At 52.0% G+C, this 19,688-nt stretch overlaps 1 protein-coding gene and 2 long non-coding RNA genes across 11 annotated transcripts in view, besides 8 other annotated features; 1 reads left to right on the top strand and 2 right to left on the bottom strand.

Moving 5' to 3' along the window:
* SLC6A9 (solute carrier family 6 member 9) overlaps positions 1 to 10,022 on the bottom strand; it is a 34,980-nt gene extending 24,958 nt beyond the window's left edge. For 6 of the 8 annotated variants that reach the window (NM_001328630.2, NM_001328626.2, NM_001024845.3 and 3 more), the window contains exons 1-2: positions 9,866 to 10,022; positions 2,808 to 2,922 (exon numbers count right to left, since the gene is read on the bottom strand). Coding sequence is in view for 6 of the 8 variants with exons in the window: in NM_001024845.3 (NP_001020016.1) it covers positions 2,808 to 2,837 (30 nt within the window). In the remaining 2 variants the exon portion in view is untranslated. Of the gene's footprint in view, positions 1 to 2,807; positions 2,923 to 4,523; positions 8,579 to 9,647; positions 9,684 to 9,865 lie in introns of those variants that run through there. The other 2 variants (NM_001328629.1, XM_047428740.1) reach the window with 2 other exon arrangements.
* Positions 7,397 to 7,956: an enhancer, noted in NCBI's record as "H3K4me1 hESC enhancer chr1:44494509-44495068 (GRCh37/hg19 assembly coordinates)". NCBI's record gives its function as "activates a minimal SCP1, AML or CMV promoter by ChIP-STARR-seq in naive H9 embryonic stem cells {active_cell/tissue: H9 hESC(naive)}" and the evidence as "EXISTENCE:reporter gene assay evidence [ECO:0000049][PMID:30033119]".
* Positions 7,957 to 8,514: an enhancer, noted in NCBI's record as "H3K4me1 hESC enhancer chr1:44495069-44495626 (GRCh37/hg19 assembly coordinates)". NCBI's record gives its function as "activates a minimal SCP1, AML or CMV promoter by ChIP-STARR-seq in naive H9 embryonic stem cells {active_cell/tissue: H9 hESC(naive)}" and the evidence as "EXISTENCE:reporter gene assay evidence [ECO:0000049][PMID:30033119]".
* Positions 8,624 to 9,173: a silencer, noted in NCBI's record as "silent region_804". NCBI's record gives its function as "represses an Ori minimal core promoter by ATAC-STARR-seq in GM12878 lymphoblastoid cells {active_cell/tissue: GM12878}" and the evidence as "EXISTENCE:reporter gene assay evidence [ECO:0000049][PMID:35858748]".
* LOC107984948 (uncharacterized) lies at positions 8,974 to 18,996 on the top strand. Of its 2 annotated transcripts, none has more exons than XR_001738029.2 (2): positions 8,974 to 9,117; positions 18,467 to 18,996. It is a non-coding gene; the product is annotated as an uncharacterized LOC107984948 (long non-coding RNA). The 2 variants fall into 2 exon arrangements; XR_007066054.1 differs by having other exon boundaries at positions 8,974 to 9,109.
* Positions 9,156 to 9,752: an enhancer, noted in NCBI's record as "NANOG-H3K27ac-H3K4me1 hESC enhancer chr1:44496268-44496864 (GRCh37/hg19 assembly coordinates)". NCBI's record gives its function as "activates a minimal SCP1, AML or CMV promoter by ChIP-STARR-seq in primed H9 embryonic stem cells {active_cell/tissue: H9 hESC(primed)}" and the evidence as "EXISTENCE:reporter gene assay evidence [ECO:0000049][PMID:30033119]".
* Positions 9,494 to 9,563: a silencer, noted in NCBI's record as "silent region_805". NCBI's record gives its function as "represses an Ori minimal core promoter by ATAC-STARR-seq in GM12878 lymphoblastoid cells {active_cell/tissue: GM12878}" and the evidence as "EXISTENCE:reporter gene assay evidence [ECO:0000049][PMID:35858748]".
* Positions 11,103 to 14,334, bottom strand: LOC124904168 (uncharacterized). Its single transcript, XR_007066055.1, has 4 exons — positions 14,243 to 14,334; positions 13,815 to 13,985; positions 12,205 to 12,880; positions 11,103 to 11,287 (listed from the first exon to the last, which is right to left on the bottom strand). It is a non-coding gene; the product is annotated as an uncharacterized LOC124904168 (long non-coding RNA).
* Positions 13,271 to 16,225: an enhancer, noted in NCBI's record as "VISTA enhancer hs1857". NCBI's record gives its function as "enhancer in: midbrain (mesencephalon)[5/5]" and the evidence as "EXISTENCE:transgenic organism evidence [ECO:0001131][PMID:17130149]".
* Positions 14,609 to 14,753: an enhancer, noted in NCBI's record as "145 bp enhancer 86 fragment used in the MPRA reporter construct; PK_construct_4183". NCBI's record gives its function as "activates an SV40 promoter by MPRA in K562 cells {active_cell/tissue: K562}" and the evidence as "EXISTENCE:reporter gene assay evidence [ECO:0000049][PMID:23512712]".
* Positions 14,672 to 14,689: a transcriptional cis regulatory region, noted in NCBI's record as "GATA motif; MPRA enhancer 86 activity is reduced when this motif is scrambled". NCBI's record gives its function as "necessary for full MPRA enhancer 86 activity {active_cell/tissue: K562}" and the evidence as "EXISTENCE:site-directed mutagenesis evidence [ECO:0005528][PMID:23512712]".
* Positions 18,997 to 19,688: the final 692 nt, after the last annotated feature.

The following is a 19,688-nucleotide window of genomic DNA, read 5'->3' on the forward strand; positions in this document are numbered from 1 at the left end:
CTGGCTGTAGCATCCAGCAGAAGCTCCAAGGATAACACAGGGTGTCTGCCGACACTGAAGAGACTTGGAGGGCCAGTGTCCTCACACCCAAACCTGGGTAAAGGGGGATAGAAGTGAGGATCCCATGGTAGGGGCCAGTGCCTGCTCCATGCATGCCAGGGCACAAATAGAGCAGCAGAAGCCACGGAGAACTGGGATGGTCCAAGTGCATGGCTCACACACACGCCCCTTAACATCCTCTCTTCTGATCTACCAGGGTATCCAAAGAAGAACCCTGTCAGAATGAAGCTTCCTTAGTTACTAGCCATAGGAAGACACAGAAGACACAAATGTGCTGACTGGGCTGCCTGTGTTAGAAGAGACGGGGCTCAGCAGGGACCAGCTGCCCTATGCACCTCAGAGGCTGTGTCTAGAGACAAGCACTGAATGGAGGTGGCTTCAGTCCCAAACTGGAACCCAAGAATAGAGTGGAGTACTCCAAGGTCATCAGCAGAACTGAAAAGGAAGCAGGAATAGAATCTCCAAGCAACCACTGGGGGTGCCCATGGGACAGATGCTATGGGCCTCAAACGCAGCAACAGTGGGCAAAAGCCAAAGGGCAGAGAGCGGGGAGGAGAGCGAGCCCCAGCTATCTTTAGGCACATCCTGGTGCTGGGAACAGGAGTCCCAAGGCAGCATTCCCATCCATAGACAGGCTGGCCGGGCCGACCGGCAGAGCACAGTCCGGGAAGCTCAGCTCAGGCAGGGACTCTGGGACACTGGGAGCCATGCCCTCTGTGCTGCTCACATCTCTCCTGCCTGCCCTCCTCCCAGTCCTTCCAGGTCACTCCAGAGAAGAAAGAGCAACCAGGGAGGACTCAGAGGTTTCATGGGGCTCAGAATCTCCATGGTAGGAAGGGGCAGGGCCACACCCCGCTTCTTATCACAAGCCCATGGCAATTCCAAGACTTCTCCAGGAAAGGTGGGGCCATGTTTGGGTTCTCAGATGGGATTCACCCCTAGCAAGTGTTCAGGTCATAAGATCTCCATCTGGGCCCATTTCTGAGCACCCAGATTTCAGGAATCTCAGGAATACTTTCAGGAGCTTGGTTCAATCAGACTTGCTCCAATCAGTCAATCAGTAGGGGGCTAGACCAGAGCTGGCCTGAGGGTTGGGGCCAGGGGTTGGATGCTGGAGGTTCAGAACAGGGCCAGATAGAAGATCCTGAGCTTGGAGCAGAACCACCGGTTCTCTCCCACAAACTGCTGTTTTTTAATTTTTCTTTCTTTCTTTCTTTCTTTCTTTTTTTTTTTTTTGAGACAGAGCCCTGCTCTATTGCCCAGGCTGGAGTGCAGTGGCGCTTGCCTCACTGCAACCCGGGTTCAAGTGATTTTCGTGCCACAGCCTCCCAAGTAGCTGGGATTACAGGTGCGCACCACCACATCTGGCTAATTTTTGTATTTTTAGTAGAGACAAGGTTTCACCATGTTGGTCAGGCTGGTCTCAAACTCCTGATCTCAAGTGATCTGCCCTCCTCAGCCTCCCAAAGTGCTGGGATTACAGGCGTGAGCCACCCTGCCCAGCCCAAGTTGTTCTTTTAAACCAGGTACTTTGAGTCCCAGAAATCTTTGGTGAGAGACAGGGCTCGTTTGGGGAGGGCTCAGTAGAGACACCAGGCCAATGACTCTTTCACTAAATGAGAAAAGCAACACAGGGGATTGAAAGGATGGGAGCTGCTGAGGGAGGGACTGTCCATGCTCAGTCCCAGGTCCCCACCCCCGGCAGCCGTCCAGTCTAGCCTGTCCCCAGGGAAGATCTCAAGAGAAGGAAGACAACCATTGCCTCTGGGACAGGATTTGGCATCATTTTCTTGGTTCTTGCTTCTGGTGCTGACCTGGTCCATCCATCAGCGAGTCTTGCTCCTTCAAGAACCTCACCCAGGCCGGGTGCGGTGGCTCACACCTGTAATCTCAGCACTTTGGAAGGCCGAGGCGTGTGGATCACCTAAGGTCAGGAGTTTGAGACCAGCCTGGCCAACATGGTGAAACCCCGTCTCTACTAAAAATACAAAATTAGCTAGGCATGGTGGCTCATGCCTGTAACCCCAGCTATTTGGGAGGCTGAGGCATGAGAATCGCTTGAACCCGGCAGGGGCAGAGGTTGCAGTGAGCTGAGATCACGCCACTGCACTCTAGCCTGGGCAACAGAGTGAGACTTAGTCTCAAAAAAATTAAAAAAAATAAAAAGAATCTCATCCACCCCTCTGTGTCTCGTGGCCTCACCACTACCTCTCCCGTGTCTCGTGGCCTCACCACTACCTCTCCTGTGCTCTAAGGCTGAGGGCAAAGAAGAGCCAGGACTTGGGGAAAGGGTGGAGGGACATTTTCTGGGAGGCCTCAGGAGAGGATTCAAAACAAAATGTTCTTTGTTACTTTTCAGACTGAGAAGGACCCAAAGAAGTGGAGAAAAACCAGGCAGGGTCTGAGGGAGGACCCCTTGATCAGCACAGACTGAAGGCGCCTGCACAGCCCCGCGTCCACTGTCCTCTCAGCATATGAGTGGCCTCCTTCTGTCTGGAGCACCTCTGTGACAAGGATGGGGCCCACACCTCCTGCCTTCTGGCAGGTCTTTGCGGGCTCTGCGGGCTTGGAGCCTGATGCTCTCTGACCTGCTAGATGAGGGGCTACCTGCCCAGGCCGGGGTCAGCTGGGCACTCAGGAGCCCTGGCAGTGCCGGCCTTCCTAAGCCTTCCAAGCAGCTGGCAGGAGGTCCTGGGGGCAGGGCTTGGGACTCCCGTTCCTTCCCGCAGTCTGGCCTCTGTACTCACCAGCATCCCTTTGGCACCTTTTCCTACCATGGCGGCGGTGGGTTGGGGCTCTGGTGACGGGGACCACACTCACAGGCTCTGCTTCCAGCGCCTTTCAGGCCACAGATCTCAAGAGCTGTGGAGAGAGCAGAGGGTGAGGTGAGGACTTGGCCGTGTGGCCCACAGGGCTCTCCAGACAGGTAGTGCCGAGCCACCCACCACCAGCCTGCCCAGGCCCTCTGCCAGGCCATGTCCATATCCTGCTCCTTTCTGGAAGACCCTCAGATCCAGCTCCTTCCCAGTCCCCCCAACCTTTCCCCTGGATCTCTTGATCTCCAGGCTTCCTGTCCCAATGGGCAAAGGTCTATTTTTGACTTTCCAGATGCCCAATCCTATAAAAGATAAAAAATGAATACCAAACTGGGATGGAGTCCAATTCCTTCATGGTCTGTGTGAATGGCTTCAGCCTTTCCCCAGGAGGGGAATCAGCTCAGATCAGCACACTCTCCCCATCCTCACCCCAGCCAGGCAGCCAGGATGGTCCTTTCCTATCTGGGTGGCACTCAGTGTGGGCTCCAGGGCAGCTGGGTTTGTTGTCATGTCATTCACTTGAACCGAGTTCTGGGCCTGCCACACACCCATGTGCAGCCGCACCTCCTTGCACTCCCAGCTGTCCCCTCCACAGCAGTTCACCAGGTGAAATTCTACAAATCTTCGGCACTGCACCGGGCTAAATGTCACCTCTTCTCTGCAGCCTTTTCTGACCCTCTCTCTCAAAAGAATGAAAAAGTTGCTTCCTCCTTTCTGTTTTGTGCAAATCTCTACGAGTACTCTTATTTCATATGACACTTATTTGCTTATAAGTTCGTCAACTATGAGTCAGTGAGTTCCCCGAGGGCTTGGGACTGTGTTTCTTTTACCCTCTGTGCCCAGCATGTAGCACAGCACTGGACTTGCAAGATGTGTTTGTTATTTGAATTGAAATGGAGGGAAATAGCGAAGTCGGGACCTCTGAAATGAGGGGTCCAGGCCAGCCCAGGATCTTGTGGGAAGCATGAGTGGCAAGGTGGGGCTGGCGAGCTGGGGGGCAGCAGCCACGTGGAAGGAACAGTCTCATGGCAATGCTGGTGCACACTGGATTAATGTCAGATGGGACGGAAGAAAGGTTAGTTTTTGACAGGCCTCGGGAGAAATCCATCTTCAGACAGCCTTAAAGAGTTGCCTCATTGCACTCCAGCCTGGGCGACAGAGCAAGGTTCCGTCTCAAAAAAAAAAAAAAAAAAGTTATCTTGGCCAGACGTGGTGGCTCACACCTGTAATCCCAGCACTTTAGGAGGCCAAGGCAGGTGGATTACCTGAGCTCAGGAGTTTGAGACCATCCTGGCCAACATGGTGAAACCCTGTCTCTACTAAAATTACAAAAATTAGCTGGGCATGGTGGCAGGTGCCTGTAATCCCAGCTACTCGGGAGGCTGAGGCAGAAGAATCGCTGGAACCTGGGAGGCAGAGGTTGCAGTGAGCCGAGATTGCGCGACTGCACTCTAGCTTGGGTGACAGAGCAAGACTCCGTCTCAAAAAAAAAAAAAAAGAATTGACTCATGGGAGGAAACCCCAGGAAGGATTCGGCTCTGCCTTTCTGGAGCCTTTCTTGCCTTCCCAGGGAGTCAACTCTGTTCCCAAGGCTACTCTGGGCAACTCTGCCCCACCCACAGCCACCTGTCAAGGGCCCCTTCTCACCTACAAATGCAGGAAGTCTCTGGAAGGCTGGAGGAGAGATGAGGAGGCTGCTCTTTGCCTATGCAAATCAGGCCTTGGCATTTTTAGGCCCTTTGCCCTGGCTGCCTGGTCTCCTGCAGAGCTTCTCTTCAGGGCAGGGTGGGGACAAGATGTGACCCAGGCTGGCCTGTGGCTCAACTTGTCCTCCTAAAGAGGTTCCTGCTCATGGCTTTGGTCTTCTGGGGGCAAGTAGGGGAAGCGCGGGTGTGCTCCCTTAAAAGTAGATCACACCTTGTCCTCTCTCACCCCTGTGCCTCCCTCTCCAGGTGTAAACTCTATATTTGACTTCCTTAAAGCCATCTGTCTGCAGTCAAGGACTAATAATGACAATGATGATAGTAATAACAGCAGATGGCATTAGAAAGAGCCATGTCAGCTGGAAGCAGTGGCTCACGGCTGTAATCCCAGCACTTTGGGAGGCCGAGGCGGGCGGATCACCTGAGGTCAGGAGTTCAAGACCAGCCTGACCAATATGGCGAAATCCCGTCTCTACTAAAAATATAAAAATTAACCAGGTATGGTGGTATGCGCCTGTAGTCCCAGCTACTCGGGAGGCTGAGACAGGAGAATGGCTTGAATCTGGGAGGCAGAGATTGCAGTGAGCCGAGATCACACCACTGTACTCCAGCCTGGGCGACAGAGCAAGACATTGTCTAAAAAAAAAAAAAGAGCCACAAAAAAGCCACGTCACAGGTTGGAAATTATTAAGCCCGCTGGTCAGGTAAGTAAACTGAGGACACTGTGTCTCAGAACTTAGGCTGCAGAGGGCCCTCACCCAGGTTATCCTGGAATTCCTCCAATTCCTCCTATTACCATCAGAGAGACAGACTCGGAGAGGTCACATGCCTTCCTTGTAAGTGCTCGAGTGAGGACTTGAACTAGGTTTTCAGACCCTACATCTCTGACTCTGACATTTCTGACTGCAAATGCAGTCCCTGCCCTCAGGTAGTTCGTGGACTGGAGGGAAAAGACTGCTTCATGGCGGCTTCCAGGAGAATGAGCTGGGTGTAAAGCTTTGCTGCTTCTCCTGCCTTTGACATTCCTGTTACATGGTCCCATCCGTCCATTCAGAAAACACCAACTGATTGCCCGTGGCGTCCAGTCTCTTCTACGTGTGGAAGATCCACAACACCAGGCCCCACACATGCCCCTGAAGCACTTGTGGGCCACTGTTGACAAGCAGTAGTGGGTCACAGAGGCAGTTTAGCACATGATAAAGAGCTCAGGCTCTGGGATCTGGTAGGCCTGGGCTGGATTTCTGGCTCAGCTACTCACCAGGTATGTGATTTCGAGTAAGTTACTTAACCTCTTTGAGCCTTAGTTTTCTCAGTCTGGAAGATGGGGCTAACAGTAGTTTCCTCGTAAGTTCTGAAGTTTCTGCCTAATTTTTATCCTTTCCACAAGCCCTCCACATGTTCCTCCCCTCCAATCTGTTAATCTTCCCAAAGCCCTAAATCCCTGATTCTCTCCAACAGTTTTCCACAGCCAACAGGATATGGCCTAAATTGCTTAGCAGGCGTTTAAGGCTGGCCACAGCTGGACTCATTTATTCCACAATATTGATTGCAGGTCTGCTCTGGACCAGACCTGTGCTAGGCACCAAGAACTCAAAGGTATCTGCACTCCTGCAGCTTACAGACTAAGGGGCAAGAGTTAAACCAATGACTAAAATTTAAAGAATTACAAACTGAGACCAGGAGTGGTGGCTCACGCCTGTAATCCTAGCACTTTGGGAGGCCAAGGCAGGCAAATCACCTGAGGTCAGGAGTTCGAGACCAGCCTGGCTAACATGGTGAAGGCCCGTCTCTACTAAAAACACAAAATTAGCTGGGCGTGGTGGTAGGCGCCTGTAATCCCAACTACTTGGGAGGCTGAGGCAGGAGAATCACTTGAATCCAGGAGGCAGAGGTTGCAGTGAGCCGAGGTCACGCCATTGCACCCCAGCCTGGGCAAAAAGAGTGAAACTCTTATCTCAAAAAATAAAAAATAAAGAACTGCCTACTGAGATAAAGGGTGTAAAAGACAAAGATTGTGTTATGAGACTCTACAATAGGGGGGCCTGGCCTTGTGTAAGACTAGGGGAGGGCTTCCCTGATGAAGTGATGTTTAAGGGTCTAAAGAAGTTAATTAGGCAAAGTGGCAATAATGAGGAAGAGAAGAGGAAGAGAGAGTCAAGCAAATGGAACAATATGTGGAAAGGCTCTGAGGCTGGAGCTCAGACAGTCAGGGGGAAATGGTCAAAGATTAAAGTGGACAGAGAGGCCTGGCCAGGGCCTTTGGGGTCTGGATTTTGGTCTTCATCTTGAGGGCAAGGGTGCCTATTGAAAGCTTTTAAGCAGAAGATCAACTTCAAGGAGGAGCCATTGGTGGAATGTGCATCTTGAAACCATCCCCCTAGATACAGTGTGGAGAAAGGACTGGAGGGAGGCTGAAGTTGAAGAGAGGAAGTCAATTAGAAATGGGCCAGGCCAGGCTGGGCGCGGTGGCTCACACCTGTAATCCCAGCACTTTGGGAGGCCGAGGTGGGTGGATCACCTGAGGTCAGGAGTCCGAGACCAGCCTGACCGACATGGAGAAACCCTGTCTCTACTAAAAATACGAAATTAGCTGGGCGTGGTGGCAGGCACCTGTAATCCCAGCTGCTCAGGAGGCTGAGTCATGAGAATTGCTTGAACTTGGGAGACAGAGGTTGCAGTGAGTCAAGATTGTGCCATTGCACTATTGCCTGGGCAACAAGAGCAAAACTCCGTCAAAAGAAAAAGAAAAAGAAAAAAGAAAGAGAGAGAGAGAAAGAAAGAAAGGAAGGAAGGAAAGAAGGAAGGAAGGAAGGAAGGAGCCAGGCCAAAAATGAAGGGGCTCAGGTTAGGAAGGTGACAATAGGGTGAGGAGAGGTGCACAGATTTCAGAGAAATATAAAAGGCAACATGGCGAGACTTGGTGATGAATCGGACTGGGTAGGGGGAGGGATAAGAAGGAGTCTCTGGTTTCTGCTGGTGCAGTGGGAGGAAACCGGTGCCCGACCCAGAGGACGAATGCTGGTGAGGCTGCAGGTTTGGTGCGGGGACAGGAGGGCTGGCTTGGACAAGCTGGTCTGAGCTGCTTGTGAGCCAGATGTTGAGACATCAGCCACAGAACCCTGGCCCACCTTGACAGTCTCACCGCTGAGTATCAGACAGGACTGTCAGGTCAATCAGTTTTAACGGTCCATCTTGGCCAAGCCCTGGAGTCCTCACGGGGGATGGAAAGGTGACAGGCTCTTTTCCTAGCTTGAAGGACCGCACAGTTTAGTAGACAGAGGAAGAAGCATAATTTCCATTCACTGTGTTGGAGGAAGTGGAGGAGCTGTGGGAGCAGGAAACAGCCCTTAGTTCTACCTGGGAGCCCAGGTCAGCAGCCTGCGGCCATCTGCCGCCACGTGAGACTACCCAGCACTTGCAGAGGGCTCCTGCTTCATGCCTTTGCCCCGGCACCCGTTCCATGTTTTTTGAGCACCCTTGTCTCCACTTCCACCTGTATGTATCCTACCCATCCTCAAAACCTATCCCAATGCTATTATCTTCATGAAGCCTTCCTAGGTCCTCCCCGTTGCTGTCAGCCTTCCTACTGTACCCCCACGCTTGCCACACGTAGCAATTGAGGCATGCTTCCTTGTGCCCAAGTCTGGCTCCCCACTAGATGGAGAGTTCTACCAGGGCAGAGGCGTGATTCTTCTGTGTCCCCAGAGCCGGGAACTGAGCAGGTACAGCCGCAGTCGCCGCATAGGCCAAGTAAAGGGGGCGTTTTCTCTGCGGTCCTTGGAAACACTTGGGCATGCTCAGTGTCGCCCATTAGTCCCTAGAACCAGTCCCCTCACCCACTACTCTCCAACCTTCTGATGCTCCCTCACTTTGGCAGTCTTTAACCTTTCAGGTTTTTCTCTTTCCCCACTCCTCGCCCTGCAGCCTTTATTTCCCAACGGCCGCACCCTCACGCTCCTTTCAGCGGAGAAATAGACCGCGCTTTGTGCGGAAGCTGTCAGCGAGCAAGCGTCCCGTCTCCTTTAAGAGTGATCCGCGAGGGGGTGTGGCTTGCGGAGAGCAGGCCCGAAAGGGGGTGCGGCTCCTTTAAGTATCCGCCGGCCCGAGGCGCGGAGGCCTCCGGCCGGCGGGCAGGGGCGCGGTCGGTCTGGGAGCAGCGGCACCGCCCGCAGCGTCCCGGTTCCTCGAAGTGGGGCGCGTCCGCTTTAATCGGGGAGAGAGATGTGGGGGCACGGGCGTTACATCAGCCGCCACGTGTGGGCCTAAGCTGGCGTGGAGGCGGCGGCCCCGCCCCCGGCCCCTGCGGTGGAAAAGTACCGGGGCGCCGAGGTCCCCGCCCCACGGCCCCGCCCCCGGGCCGGCACCGGCCCCTCCCGGCCCTCCGGGCAAGCCCCACTCTCCCGCCCGGCCCGGCCCCGCCGCCTGCTCGAGATCTGCAGTGGCTGCCGGGTGCGGAGCGCCGGCCGGGGGTGGGCTCTCCAGGGCTGCTAGGCCCCTGCCCTCACCTGCGGCCGCCCGGCCCCGCCCTAGGTGTGCCGGTAATGAGGGTTGGGGTGGGGAGGGCACGGATTCTTCCCAGGGTAGCAACCCCCAGAGAACTCCCGGCTCGCTCGCAGTCCCTTCCCAAAGCCGCGGCCAGAGCGCGGACAAAGAGAGGCTGAGTGCGCCAGGACTCTCCCGCGCGGCTTCCCGGGTCCCGCGGGCGCACGGGCACTGGAACCGGCACCGGGAGGGCAGATAGGGAGGCAGGCCGGCTGGAGGGGCCAGATAGGCAGCCAGGCTGGCGGGCGCTGAGAGGCGATGGAGCGAGCGGGAGCCCGCACGCTGGGTGCAGGCACGGCCGACTGTCGACCCCTGCAGGCCCCCAGAGCGCAGAACCACTGGCTCCTCGGACGGACAGTGCCACGCTCTGGCTCCGGCGCTACCCGCACAGCCTGCGCCCGCCGCCCCCGATCGAACCGGCGTCTGGCGCCCCCCCGCCACCCCACGCAGGAGCTCCCCCCACTTCCCTCTCCCTCCCGCTTCAGCTCCTTGGTGACAGCGGTGACACCCAGACGCGCGCACCTACCCCGATCTTTGCGGCGAGACAGACATCCCGGTGCGTGCACCCACACTCTTACCCACAGATGCCCGCATACATGCGCGATCACACACACACACACACACACACACACACACGCACACGCTGGTCCTGGGGCTCAGCCCCGCGGAGCCGCCGAACACTCAGACCGACGGCAGGACAGACGGAGGCGCGGGCCCCAGCGTCCCTTCCCCCAGCCCCCTTACCATGCTGCAGCCCCCGGCCCAGGCGTGCTGGGTCCGCACCGCGGTGCGCCCAGGTGGCTTTCTTAAAGGGAAAGTTGCATCAGCCTCCCGAGGCTCTGTGCCGCGCCGAGTTCGCCCGCCCCGCCGCGCCGCTCGCAGCTCTTCCACAGCCTGTTGTGTTTTGGTTTCGGGGAGGCGGGGGCTAAGAGTTTGGTGAAAGTTTGAAGAGTGGAGAAGGCTTGGGAGATCTAGCCAAGTCCCTCCCCTACCCGAACGGCTCCCCTGGCCGTCCTCCCCTCTCCATCCCATCCCCTCCTCCCGTGCCGACTTCTCAGGCTCCTCCTCCCAGGGAATAAAATTACAAGTCTCTCCAGCTTTCAGATGATTGATCCCCACGAACCCCTGGGAGTGAGCGCCACAAAGGAGTCCCCTTCTCCGCCCCTGCCTCGCTGCCCTCCAGCTGGGGCCCTTGAGCAAGCAGATGTGGGCCCCTTCGGGCTAGGCTGGAATGAAGCCAGAAGGCCTGGGGCACTATGGGGGGCTGAGGCTGGAGTTAGCCCTCCAGGCCCCTGGCCTTCTGCGCCTGCGTTTCCCCTAGAGAGAAGTCAGAGCAAATTCCATTCCCTTTGGAGCAGAGCCGCTAGAGACTGTGGGCATTGCTGGGTAAGGCCTAGGTCCTACTCCTTGGAACTGGAGGGCTCGGGGTAGCCCTTTCTCAAATTTCCCTCCTGGACCACCGGCTTGGTCAGCTCTACTTTTGAGGTGGTGTTACAGGGGCTGCAGACACCAACCTGGGATCCCTCCTCCTTCCATGGTGAGACAGACCTGGGTTACAATCTCAGCTAAAAAAGAGTCTTTGCCAAAAGGAGCATGGTGAGCCTCGGTTTCCTCCTCTGTGAAACAGAGAGAAGGGGCTAAGGAAATGCATGTGTGTGTATATAAAGCCCATTGCTCCAGGCTGCCTCTGGGGAGTGGTGGCTGGCATTTGGAATGAGCCTCCCACATTTGCATACCTTGTGAGAGCCACCACCTTTCATGGAGAGTGGCCAGTTAGTTCTGTCAGAGGAACTGGTTTTTGCCCCAACCTGAGTAGGGCATCTGCTCAGGGAAGGGGCCCAGCCCACAGAGGCAATTTCTACTTTGGACCCTGAGTCCTCACCATTTTCTGGCCAGGAAACAGTTTAATTTTTTTCCTTGGGACAGTCAGCCTCCAAGAAGCGAGTGCACACATGCCAAACTCACGTGAAACCAATTGTTGAGTGAGATTCCAGTTTATTAATTTATCAGAGGCACTGAACAAGATAACAGGCATCAAGCCCAGGCATTCCCTGAAATGCGAGCTCTCTCAGGCCACACGCGGTCCATTCCACAAACCTTCCTCAGAGCCAAAGTACAAAGACAGCTCTCTGTTGTCTCCTATTCACATTGGACTCCTGATCAGATCTGGGAAGACACCTTAGTCTTATCAGCGAGATTATTTTCACTTTTACTTTGTCCCCAAACCTAGTAGGTATAGCATGTTTGGGATTTTTAGTCTCCTACAAGCCAAGTGCAGGTGTTTCTTGCGTGAGTTGTGTGCACACACACCTGGATCTAGGCAACCTGTTGTGTCTGTGCCCCCAGACACCTGAGCCCCGATTGTGTATTTGTGTAGGTACATCTGTGGAAGACTGATTGTGTGCACTGCAGCAGGTCTGTGTAGTTATGTGTGTGCTCAATTCCTGGGACTGGGCAGATGGGGTCCAAGCCCTCTATATCTCTCCTGCCAGGACGTAACTTCCTCCATAAGTTTTTTTTAGGATCTTCCTCCTTGCCTCCTCGCTGGGGCTCATCAAAAGGGATACCACCCCAGGGAAGGCAGATGGAGGATGTCGAAGAGGCCCCCAAGTAGAGGAAGGCGGACAAGGAAGAGTATGAAGGGGAAAAGGCCTCCCTCCTTCTCCCTTCCAGCAGTAGGCTGGGGTGGGGACAGGCCTAGAAGAGGGCACTGAGCGCTAAGAACACTCAGTGAAGATTCCGAGAGTTTTCATGGCTCAGGGAATCCATATGAAGGGAGGCAGGTGTAGGGTGCTGCAAGCCAGACTTCCAGGATGCCCTCAGGCCTAGGGGCTTGGGGCCTGGGCTGTTAGAAGAGAGGAGGATGGGTGCTCAGGGGCCAGCCCTCTGAGGCTCCGTCAGAAAGAGGAAGGCTTGGGGACTAACCTAGGGACAGGGACGTGGGGTGAAGAGAAAATTTTCCTTGGAGTGTTTAGGGAGATTGGGGATGTTGGCCAGAGGGCTTTATTAGACTAACACTGGCATAGCTCAAAGTCTATTTGTATACATAGAAACAGATTCATGGATATGTGTGTTTTACCCACCTTGAACCAGAAAGAGCTTCAGGAAACCACACAGCTGTGTCCTGAGGAGACACTTGTGAGAAAGATTCTGGTTTGAAAAGTCATCTTCCTGAGACAGGGACTAGAGAGGCTGTTTTTTTCCAATCAGAATGAGGCCCAAAGGAGGCAGGTTTGGGCCCAGCCCGGGTGGGAGCTGGGATAGCCTCCGTCCCTGGCTGTGAGCCCCTGGCTCTGAGCAGCTGGCCTGCAGGGTGGGAAGGGCATGGCCAGCCTGGGCCACTGTGGGGCGGGCAGGGGGATCAGGACTGAGGACAGACTGGGGCAGGGGAGGGGATGGGGGACGGACGGGGTCAGACATTTTGACGGGCCTGCTTCTTCCTGGGGCAGGGCAGCAGTTGGGCTGGGGCCCACCCACCACCCACTGCAGGCTGAAATGTGGCTCAGGAGCCTCCAGTTACTGCAGCCAGTGGAGCTATTTCCTGGGAGGGCTGCATCCAGCGTCAGAGCCCCCAGGGCTGGCTGGTTTCCTCGAGTGGTGTCATCAGCCTGCAGGATCAAGGCCTCTGTTTCGAGATGCACATAGTCAGCTTAGGTGTGTGTCTAGTAGGAATATGAATAATGCCAGACTTGGGCCACTTCTGGTGGTCACTGCAGGAGCTGGCAGCACTGGGCACCTTGATGGAGTGGTGCTGGGGGCCTGCTGAGAAGGTGGGGGAGGGTGGACATTGCCTGTAGTTGAAGCCAGGCCTGGCCAGGGGTCTCCACCTCCTTAGAACCCCAGCCTCAGTAGCCAGGAAGCATTACTGGGAGGTGCCTGCCTGGGCTCTGCTCTCAGATTCTTCCTTTCTTGAACCTGGAGCCCAGTGGTCAGTGCCTGGCACCTCCACTGCCCTGTCCCAATGCAGAGGAGCAGGTTAGATTGGTTTCAGACCTGAGAGCTGTCTCTGGGGCTCCAGGTACCCCTTAGGCCATCCTGTTGTGGTTTCTCTACCCCTGAAACCCCGCCACCCCAGCCCTGCCACCCCAGCCTTGGGGCAGCATAAGCCAATCATGGGGTTCAGAACAGGGGTTCCGGGCTGGACCTCAGTGGCTCCAGGTAAAATCAGGCATATAGACAGGAAGTATTGACTTTGGCGTTGTCCAAGGGGCAGCCCCAATCTCCAGAGCTTTCAACACCCAGACTCCTCAATCGCTTTGAGCTCCCAAAGTCCTGAATTCCCAATGTCAAGGGTGCCAGAGCACCCAACACTGTAGAGGACCCAAAACCCAGAGCCCCCAGTGCCAAATTCCAGGGGGCCTGGGGTACCCAACATCCAGAGCACCCAATGTTCATAACATTCCATTTTCAGAGTGCCAGTGTTCCAATTCACTGCACCTGGAGGGAGGGAGTGGGGTCCCTGCATAACCAGGGTCCCTACATAACCGAGGTCCCTTCAGTGACCTATTATCTGAGGAGTGGCCATGACTGAAGTTGGGGCTGGGGTGGTGCTGGCAGTTGTAGTTCTTCCTCGATGCTCCCATCCTGGGTCTGGAGAGGTCGAGCAGGCTTGCAGGTGGGATGGCGTTCCCTCTGGCCTCAGCCCAGCCTGGTCACAGGCCCTGTGGCACTGAATGTCCATTTATTCACTCACCAAATATTAGTGCGCATCTGCCATGTGCTGGGAATTGAGCTCCTCTCTGGGAGTACAACCGTGAGAGAGAAGGGGTTCCTGTTCTCCCAGATGGGACAGGTGACATTGTGCCTGTGCTGGTATGTCCGTGTGGTTCAGCCATCTGTGGCCCACGTGTAGCTGTGGGCATGGCTATGAGAATGAATGGCTGTGAGTGTGATGGTGTTGGCGTGAGGCTGTGCCTGCAGCCCACATCAGCAAGTTAATGTGTGTGACTATTATGGTGGGTCTGGCTGTGTCCGTCTGTCTGGCCATCCTAATAATCTCTCTTTGCCTCACTGCTATTTCAAGGATTGGAAGTAAGGCCCCCCTTCCCCTCAGACCCGAGGTACTGAGGGTCAGGCCTCACTGTAGGGAGGAACAGGCTGGTTCCTGAGCTAGAGACTGACCCCAGAGCTGCCCTGCTGCAGGGCTAAAGATTTCTCCTACTGCTCCTGCCCCTGCTGGACCCAGAGCCTCTTTGGATTGGGAAGACAGGAAGAGGGGTGGCTATAAGCCGAGCAGTCGACACCAAAAATAGCCATCTGCCCTGGGGAGGATCCTCTGGCACCACTCTCTCCTCCAGTCCAGCCCAACCCGGCCCACTGACTTGGAGCCTCAGTAGGGCTCCTGTCTGACTCCACTTCCCCAACTCTTATCTGAGTAACCCTCTCAGACTCAAAGGAGGGACACAGCAATGATGTCACTACAAATTATGGCATCATAAAGAGCTCTGGCAGCATCACAAGGAGTGACCCCAGACCGCGGGCGGGGCTCCATCTGCTGGTAGCTCCCCAGCAGGGATGGCAGGGCTGGATAAGCCCTGCGTGGGGCCCTGCCTTATCTGTCCCCCACACATATGTGATAAGCCTCTTACCATGGGCTGGCCCAGGGAGCAGGTGGGGAGCAGGCCGGAAGAGGGGAAAGGCCAGCTGGGGCTGGCTGAACTCCAGGGAAGAAAGCCAGGGTCAGGGAGTCCTGGCAGAACCCCAGCAAGGGGAGATGCAGGGTCACTGTTGGGGGCAGTGTGGAGCTGTGGTTAGGGCCATGGATTCTGAAGCCAGGCTGCCTGCATTTGTATTCCAGGTCTCCACTTAATGGCTATGTAAGCAGACCTCAGCTTCCTCAATATTCCTCACCAGGAATACTATTAATATTAGCAGTGACTATCAACCACGGTATTGTTGTGGGGATTAAAGGATTTAATGTGTGTGAAATCGGCACAGAAGAGGGCCTGGCTCACAGAAAGCCCTCATCCATCCTCCTTCCTAGATCTGATCTTCCCTGGGAGCTGCCCACCATACCCAACAGCCCACTTGTGTGGCCGGGGCCTAGGTGGGGTTCCCAAAAGCTGCCCAGCCCCACACACATCCCACACCTACCCTGTCTGTAATCACCCTGAAACTCCCCAGGAATCCTGGCCTTTTCAGCATATTTTCTTCCAGCAATCTCCCCAGACACATTGTGGCCCTGGTGCCCTCTGGTGACAAAAGCCATACATGGCAGTTACAGCTGCATCCCCAGCACACATTGGGCCAGACAAGGTGCTGCCCCTTGTCTGATTATTTTGTGTCATCACATCAAGTTTTCAAAGTAGGAATTTTCTGTGTTTTCTAGAATGAGAGCTCAGGCAGGTTAACTAATTTGCTGCAGGTTATAGAACTAATAAGTGGTAGAACGTGAACTTGGATTCAGGTTGGCCTGTGTCCAAAACGTGAACTTGAATTCAGGTTGGCCTGTGTCCAAAAGCTATTATTTCACCCCATGCACAATATACTAGGGGGGATGTGCTGGCATGGCCACGGGGCCCAGTAGATGTTTTACATTATGAGCCATTCTCCTAGTTTGAGTATATCTATAGTTGAGTGTATGGCCATTGAGATTCTCCATCTGTGAATATAGAGCAGTGTGACCTGGTTTTGAGCACAATAAGGTTGGGTGTTGGCTTTTTTGTGGCTCTGTTGTGGCTGTATGATTGGATTGTGTGAGTGCAACCATGGCTGGGCTTGTTGTGAGAGATTAGCCATGGTGTGTGGGGCTGGCCTGACTCTGTGTGTGTGTGTGTGTGTGTGTGTGTGTGTGTCGGTATGACTGTATTGTGGAGGGGTGTATAGCCAGTGGGATTGTGTGGGGAAAGGTGACGAAGGGCCCTGAGTTCCCAGCGCCACTTGCCTTTTTGGTCCCAGGCCTGCATCTGCTCACCATGACTGCATGATGGATGGCTTCACATGCCAAACACGCTCCCAGGGGCCTACTCGGGTTCTCCTTCCCCCAACCCCCCTTTTATTTTTCGAGGAAGTAAAGCAAATAGTACCACAGATGGAGTTGGTCTTCCTTTTTTCCATGGGATATTTGTGAAAGCATTTTACATGCCTTTGAGTGATATCGAAAAAGAAGTGTCATTTTTAAAAAGTCAATGTGACTATTCTAATTAATTTGAACATCAGTTCTCAGGGTGTTGATTGCAGATCCCTGGGAATCTTTAAGACTCTTACAGGGAATACACAAGGCAAAAGCTATTTTCCTAACAATACTAAATTGTTATTTGCCACTTTCAATTTATCGATATTTGCACATGATGTAAGAGCAACGGTGGGTGAAACTGTTGGCACCTAAGCATGAATCAAGGCATGGCACCCAACTGTACCAGTAATCTTTGTATTCTTCTCCACCATGGTGCATGACTAGTAACAATAGGAGGGAAAAAAGGGCCAGTTTTGCCTTATTTATTTATTTATTTATTTTTATTTTTGGGATGGAGTCTCACTTCATCACCCAGGCTTGAGTGCAGTGACACGATCTAAGCTCACTGCAACCTCCACTTCCCGGGTTCATGTGATTCTCCTGCCTCAGCCTCCCAAGTAGCTGAGATTACAGGGGCACACCACCACGCCTGGCTAATTTTTGTATTTTTAGTAGAGACAGGATTTCACTCTGTTGGCCAGGCTGGTCTTGAACTCCTGACTTCAAGTGATCCACCCACCTGGAACTCCCAAAGTGCTGGGATTACAGGAGTGAGCTACCATGCCCAGCCTCAATTTTGCTTTAAAAGTCCTTGGTGAAGCAGTACAATTATTATTATTATTATTTTTTTAAAGGCATCTGTTTTTTGTTTGTTTGTTTTATACTTTAAGTTCTAGGGTACATGTGCACAACATGCAGGTTTGTTACATAGGTATACATGTACCATGTTTGTTTGCTGCACCCATTAACTCGTCATTTACATTGAGTATTTCTTCTAATGCAATCCCTCCTCCAGTTTCCCACCCCACGACAGGCCCCAGTGTGTGATGTTCCCCTCCCTGTGTCCAAGTGTTCTCATTGTTCAGTTCCCACCTATGAGTGAGAACATGCAGTGTTTGGTTTTCTGTCCTTGTGAAGCAGTAAAATTATTGTTTTGTGGTTTCATGTATCAGTAGTTATTTTATTTTTATTATGGATTGGTATTTCATCATACAGATAGATAATTTGCTTAAATATTTACATGTTGATGGACATTTAGGCTGTTTTCCGTTTCTTGGTATTATGAATAAAATTGGTATGCACATTCATGTGCAGATCTCTGTGTGGACGCATATTGTCATCTCTCTTGAATTAATACTTTGGAGTGGGATTGTTGGAGCATATGACAGGTACTTTTATAAGAAATTTCCAGTTTCCCAAAGTGGCTGTACTATTTTGCATTCTGATCAGCAATTTTGAGACTTCTAGTTGCTCTACATTCTCACCAACATTTGGCATTATCAACCTTTTAAACTTTAGCAATGGTAATAAGTGTACTGTGGTATCTTATTGTGGTTTTAATATGCAATTTCCTGATGATTAATGATTTGAGCATCTTTTCATGGACTTTTTGCCATTCATGTATCTTCCCTAGTGAAGTATTCATTCAAATCTTTTGACTGTTTTTTTTTTTAATTAAAATTCTTTTTGAGACAGGGTCTCACTCTGTCCTTTAGGATGGAGTGCAGTGGCATGAGGCTCACTGCAGCCTTGACCTCCTGGGTTCAAGCCATCCTCCCACCTTAGCCTCCTGAGTAGTTGGGACTACAGGCCTACACCACCATGCCTGGCTAATTTGTTTATTTTTTATAGAGACAAGGTCTCACTATGTTATCCAGGCAGGTCTTGAACTCCTGGGCTCAAGCGATCCTCCCACCTCCCAAAGTGCTGGGATTGTAGGCATGAATCACCACGACTGGCCTTTTTGACCATTTTAAAAATGAGTTTGCATTATTGTCACTGAGTTGTAAGAGCACAAATATTTTCACAGTCTGTTTCTTATCTTTTCATTTTCTTAACAGTGCCTTTCAAAGAATAGAAGTTTTTCATTTTGATGAAAATCAATTATTTTTTCTTTTATAGTTTGTACATTTTGAGTCCTATCTAAGAAAATATTTACCCAACTCAGGGCCCTCAAAGATTCACTCTATGTTTTTGTCTAGAAGTTTTATAACTGTAGCTATTACTTTAGTTCTATGATCCATTTTGCTTTATTAAATTGTGCAAAGGAAGGAGTTGAGCTTTGTTTGTCTTTGTGTCTGTTTTGATTATGGATTTCCAATTGTTCCAGCACTATTTGTTGAAAATACTGTCCTTTTTCTATTGAATTAACTTGCGATCTTTGTCAACAGTCAATGGATCATGAAGATGGAGGTGGTGGCTCATGCCTGTTAATCCCCACACTATGAGAGGCTGAGGCAGGAGGATCACTTGGGGCCAGTAGTTTGAGACCAGCCTGGGCAACATGGCAAGACTCCATCTCTACAAAAAAATGCAAAAAGAAATCAGTGGACCATGTATGTACACATCTATTTTGGATTCATGCCTGTAAGATACTGAGCGTCGACCAGGCGCAGTGGCTCACAACTGTAATCCCAGCACTTTGGGAGGCTGAGATGGGTGGATCACCTGAGCTCGGGAGTTCGAGACCAGCCTGAACAACATGGAGAAACCCCATCTCTACTAAAAATACAAAATTAGCTGGGCATGGTGGCGCATGCCTGTAATCCCAGCTACTCGGGAGGCTGAGGCAGGAGAATCGCTTGAACCTGGGAGGCAGGAATTGCAGTGAGCTGAGATTGAGCCATTGCACTCCAACCTGGACAACAAGAGTGAAACTCCGTCTCAAAAAAAATAAAATAAATAAAAGATACTGAGCATCTTTTGATCTATATGTCTTTATGCCAATACTACACTGTACTGATTATTTTATATTGTCTAAAAGAAGCAGTAACATTATTAACTTTATTGTCTTAACCCTTGAATATATGTCTTTGAAATATTTTGTGTGACAAAATGGGAAGTATGCTTATCTCAAGGAAAAGCACTTACGCAATTGAATTGTGAACTGAATGCACCAAACACCAGTTTTACTTAAAAGAACAAATGACAAACTATAGTTATCAGACTTGGGTCTTTGGCATACTTTTTCTCAAAGGTGAATCAAGTGAGCCTATCAATTCAAGGGAAAAAAAATTAGTGTTTGTTGCCAGTGAAAAAATTAGCGTCTTCAAGTGAAAATTAGGATTTGAAAAACTTATATCTACTTACAGTGAGTTTGAAAGCTTTCAATTCTAATGAGACCAGTGATAGCATTAATGAGTGTGCTCTTTAAAAAATATTGTATAATGAAATGTGTCAACATTTGGGAGATCTGCATAACTCAGTGAACCAATATTTTCCAAATGACCAATACATGATGTTACAAAATCATGCATGAGTAAAAGAGCTATTCAAAGTGCAAGACAGACCAGTGGAGTGTAACGTTAACAGAGTATGAAACGTTCACGTAGTAACTAACTTTTAAGAAACTACCACCTCGAGTTTTGGTATGGAAGAAAGAAGAATTTACTG

This window comes from Homo sapiens, chromosome 1 (genome assembly GCF_000001405.40).
Source record: "Homo sapiens chromosome 1, GRCh38.p14 Primary Assembly".
NCBI lineage: Eukaryota > Metazoa > Chordata > Mammalia > Primates > Hominidae > Homo > Homo sapiens.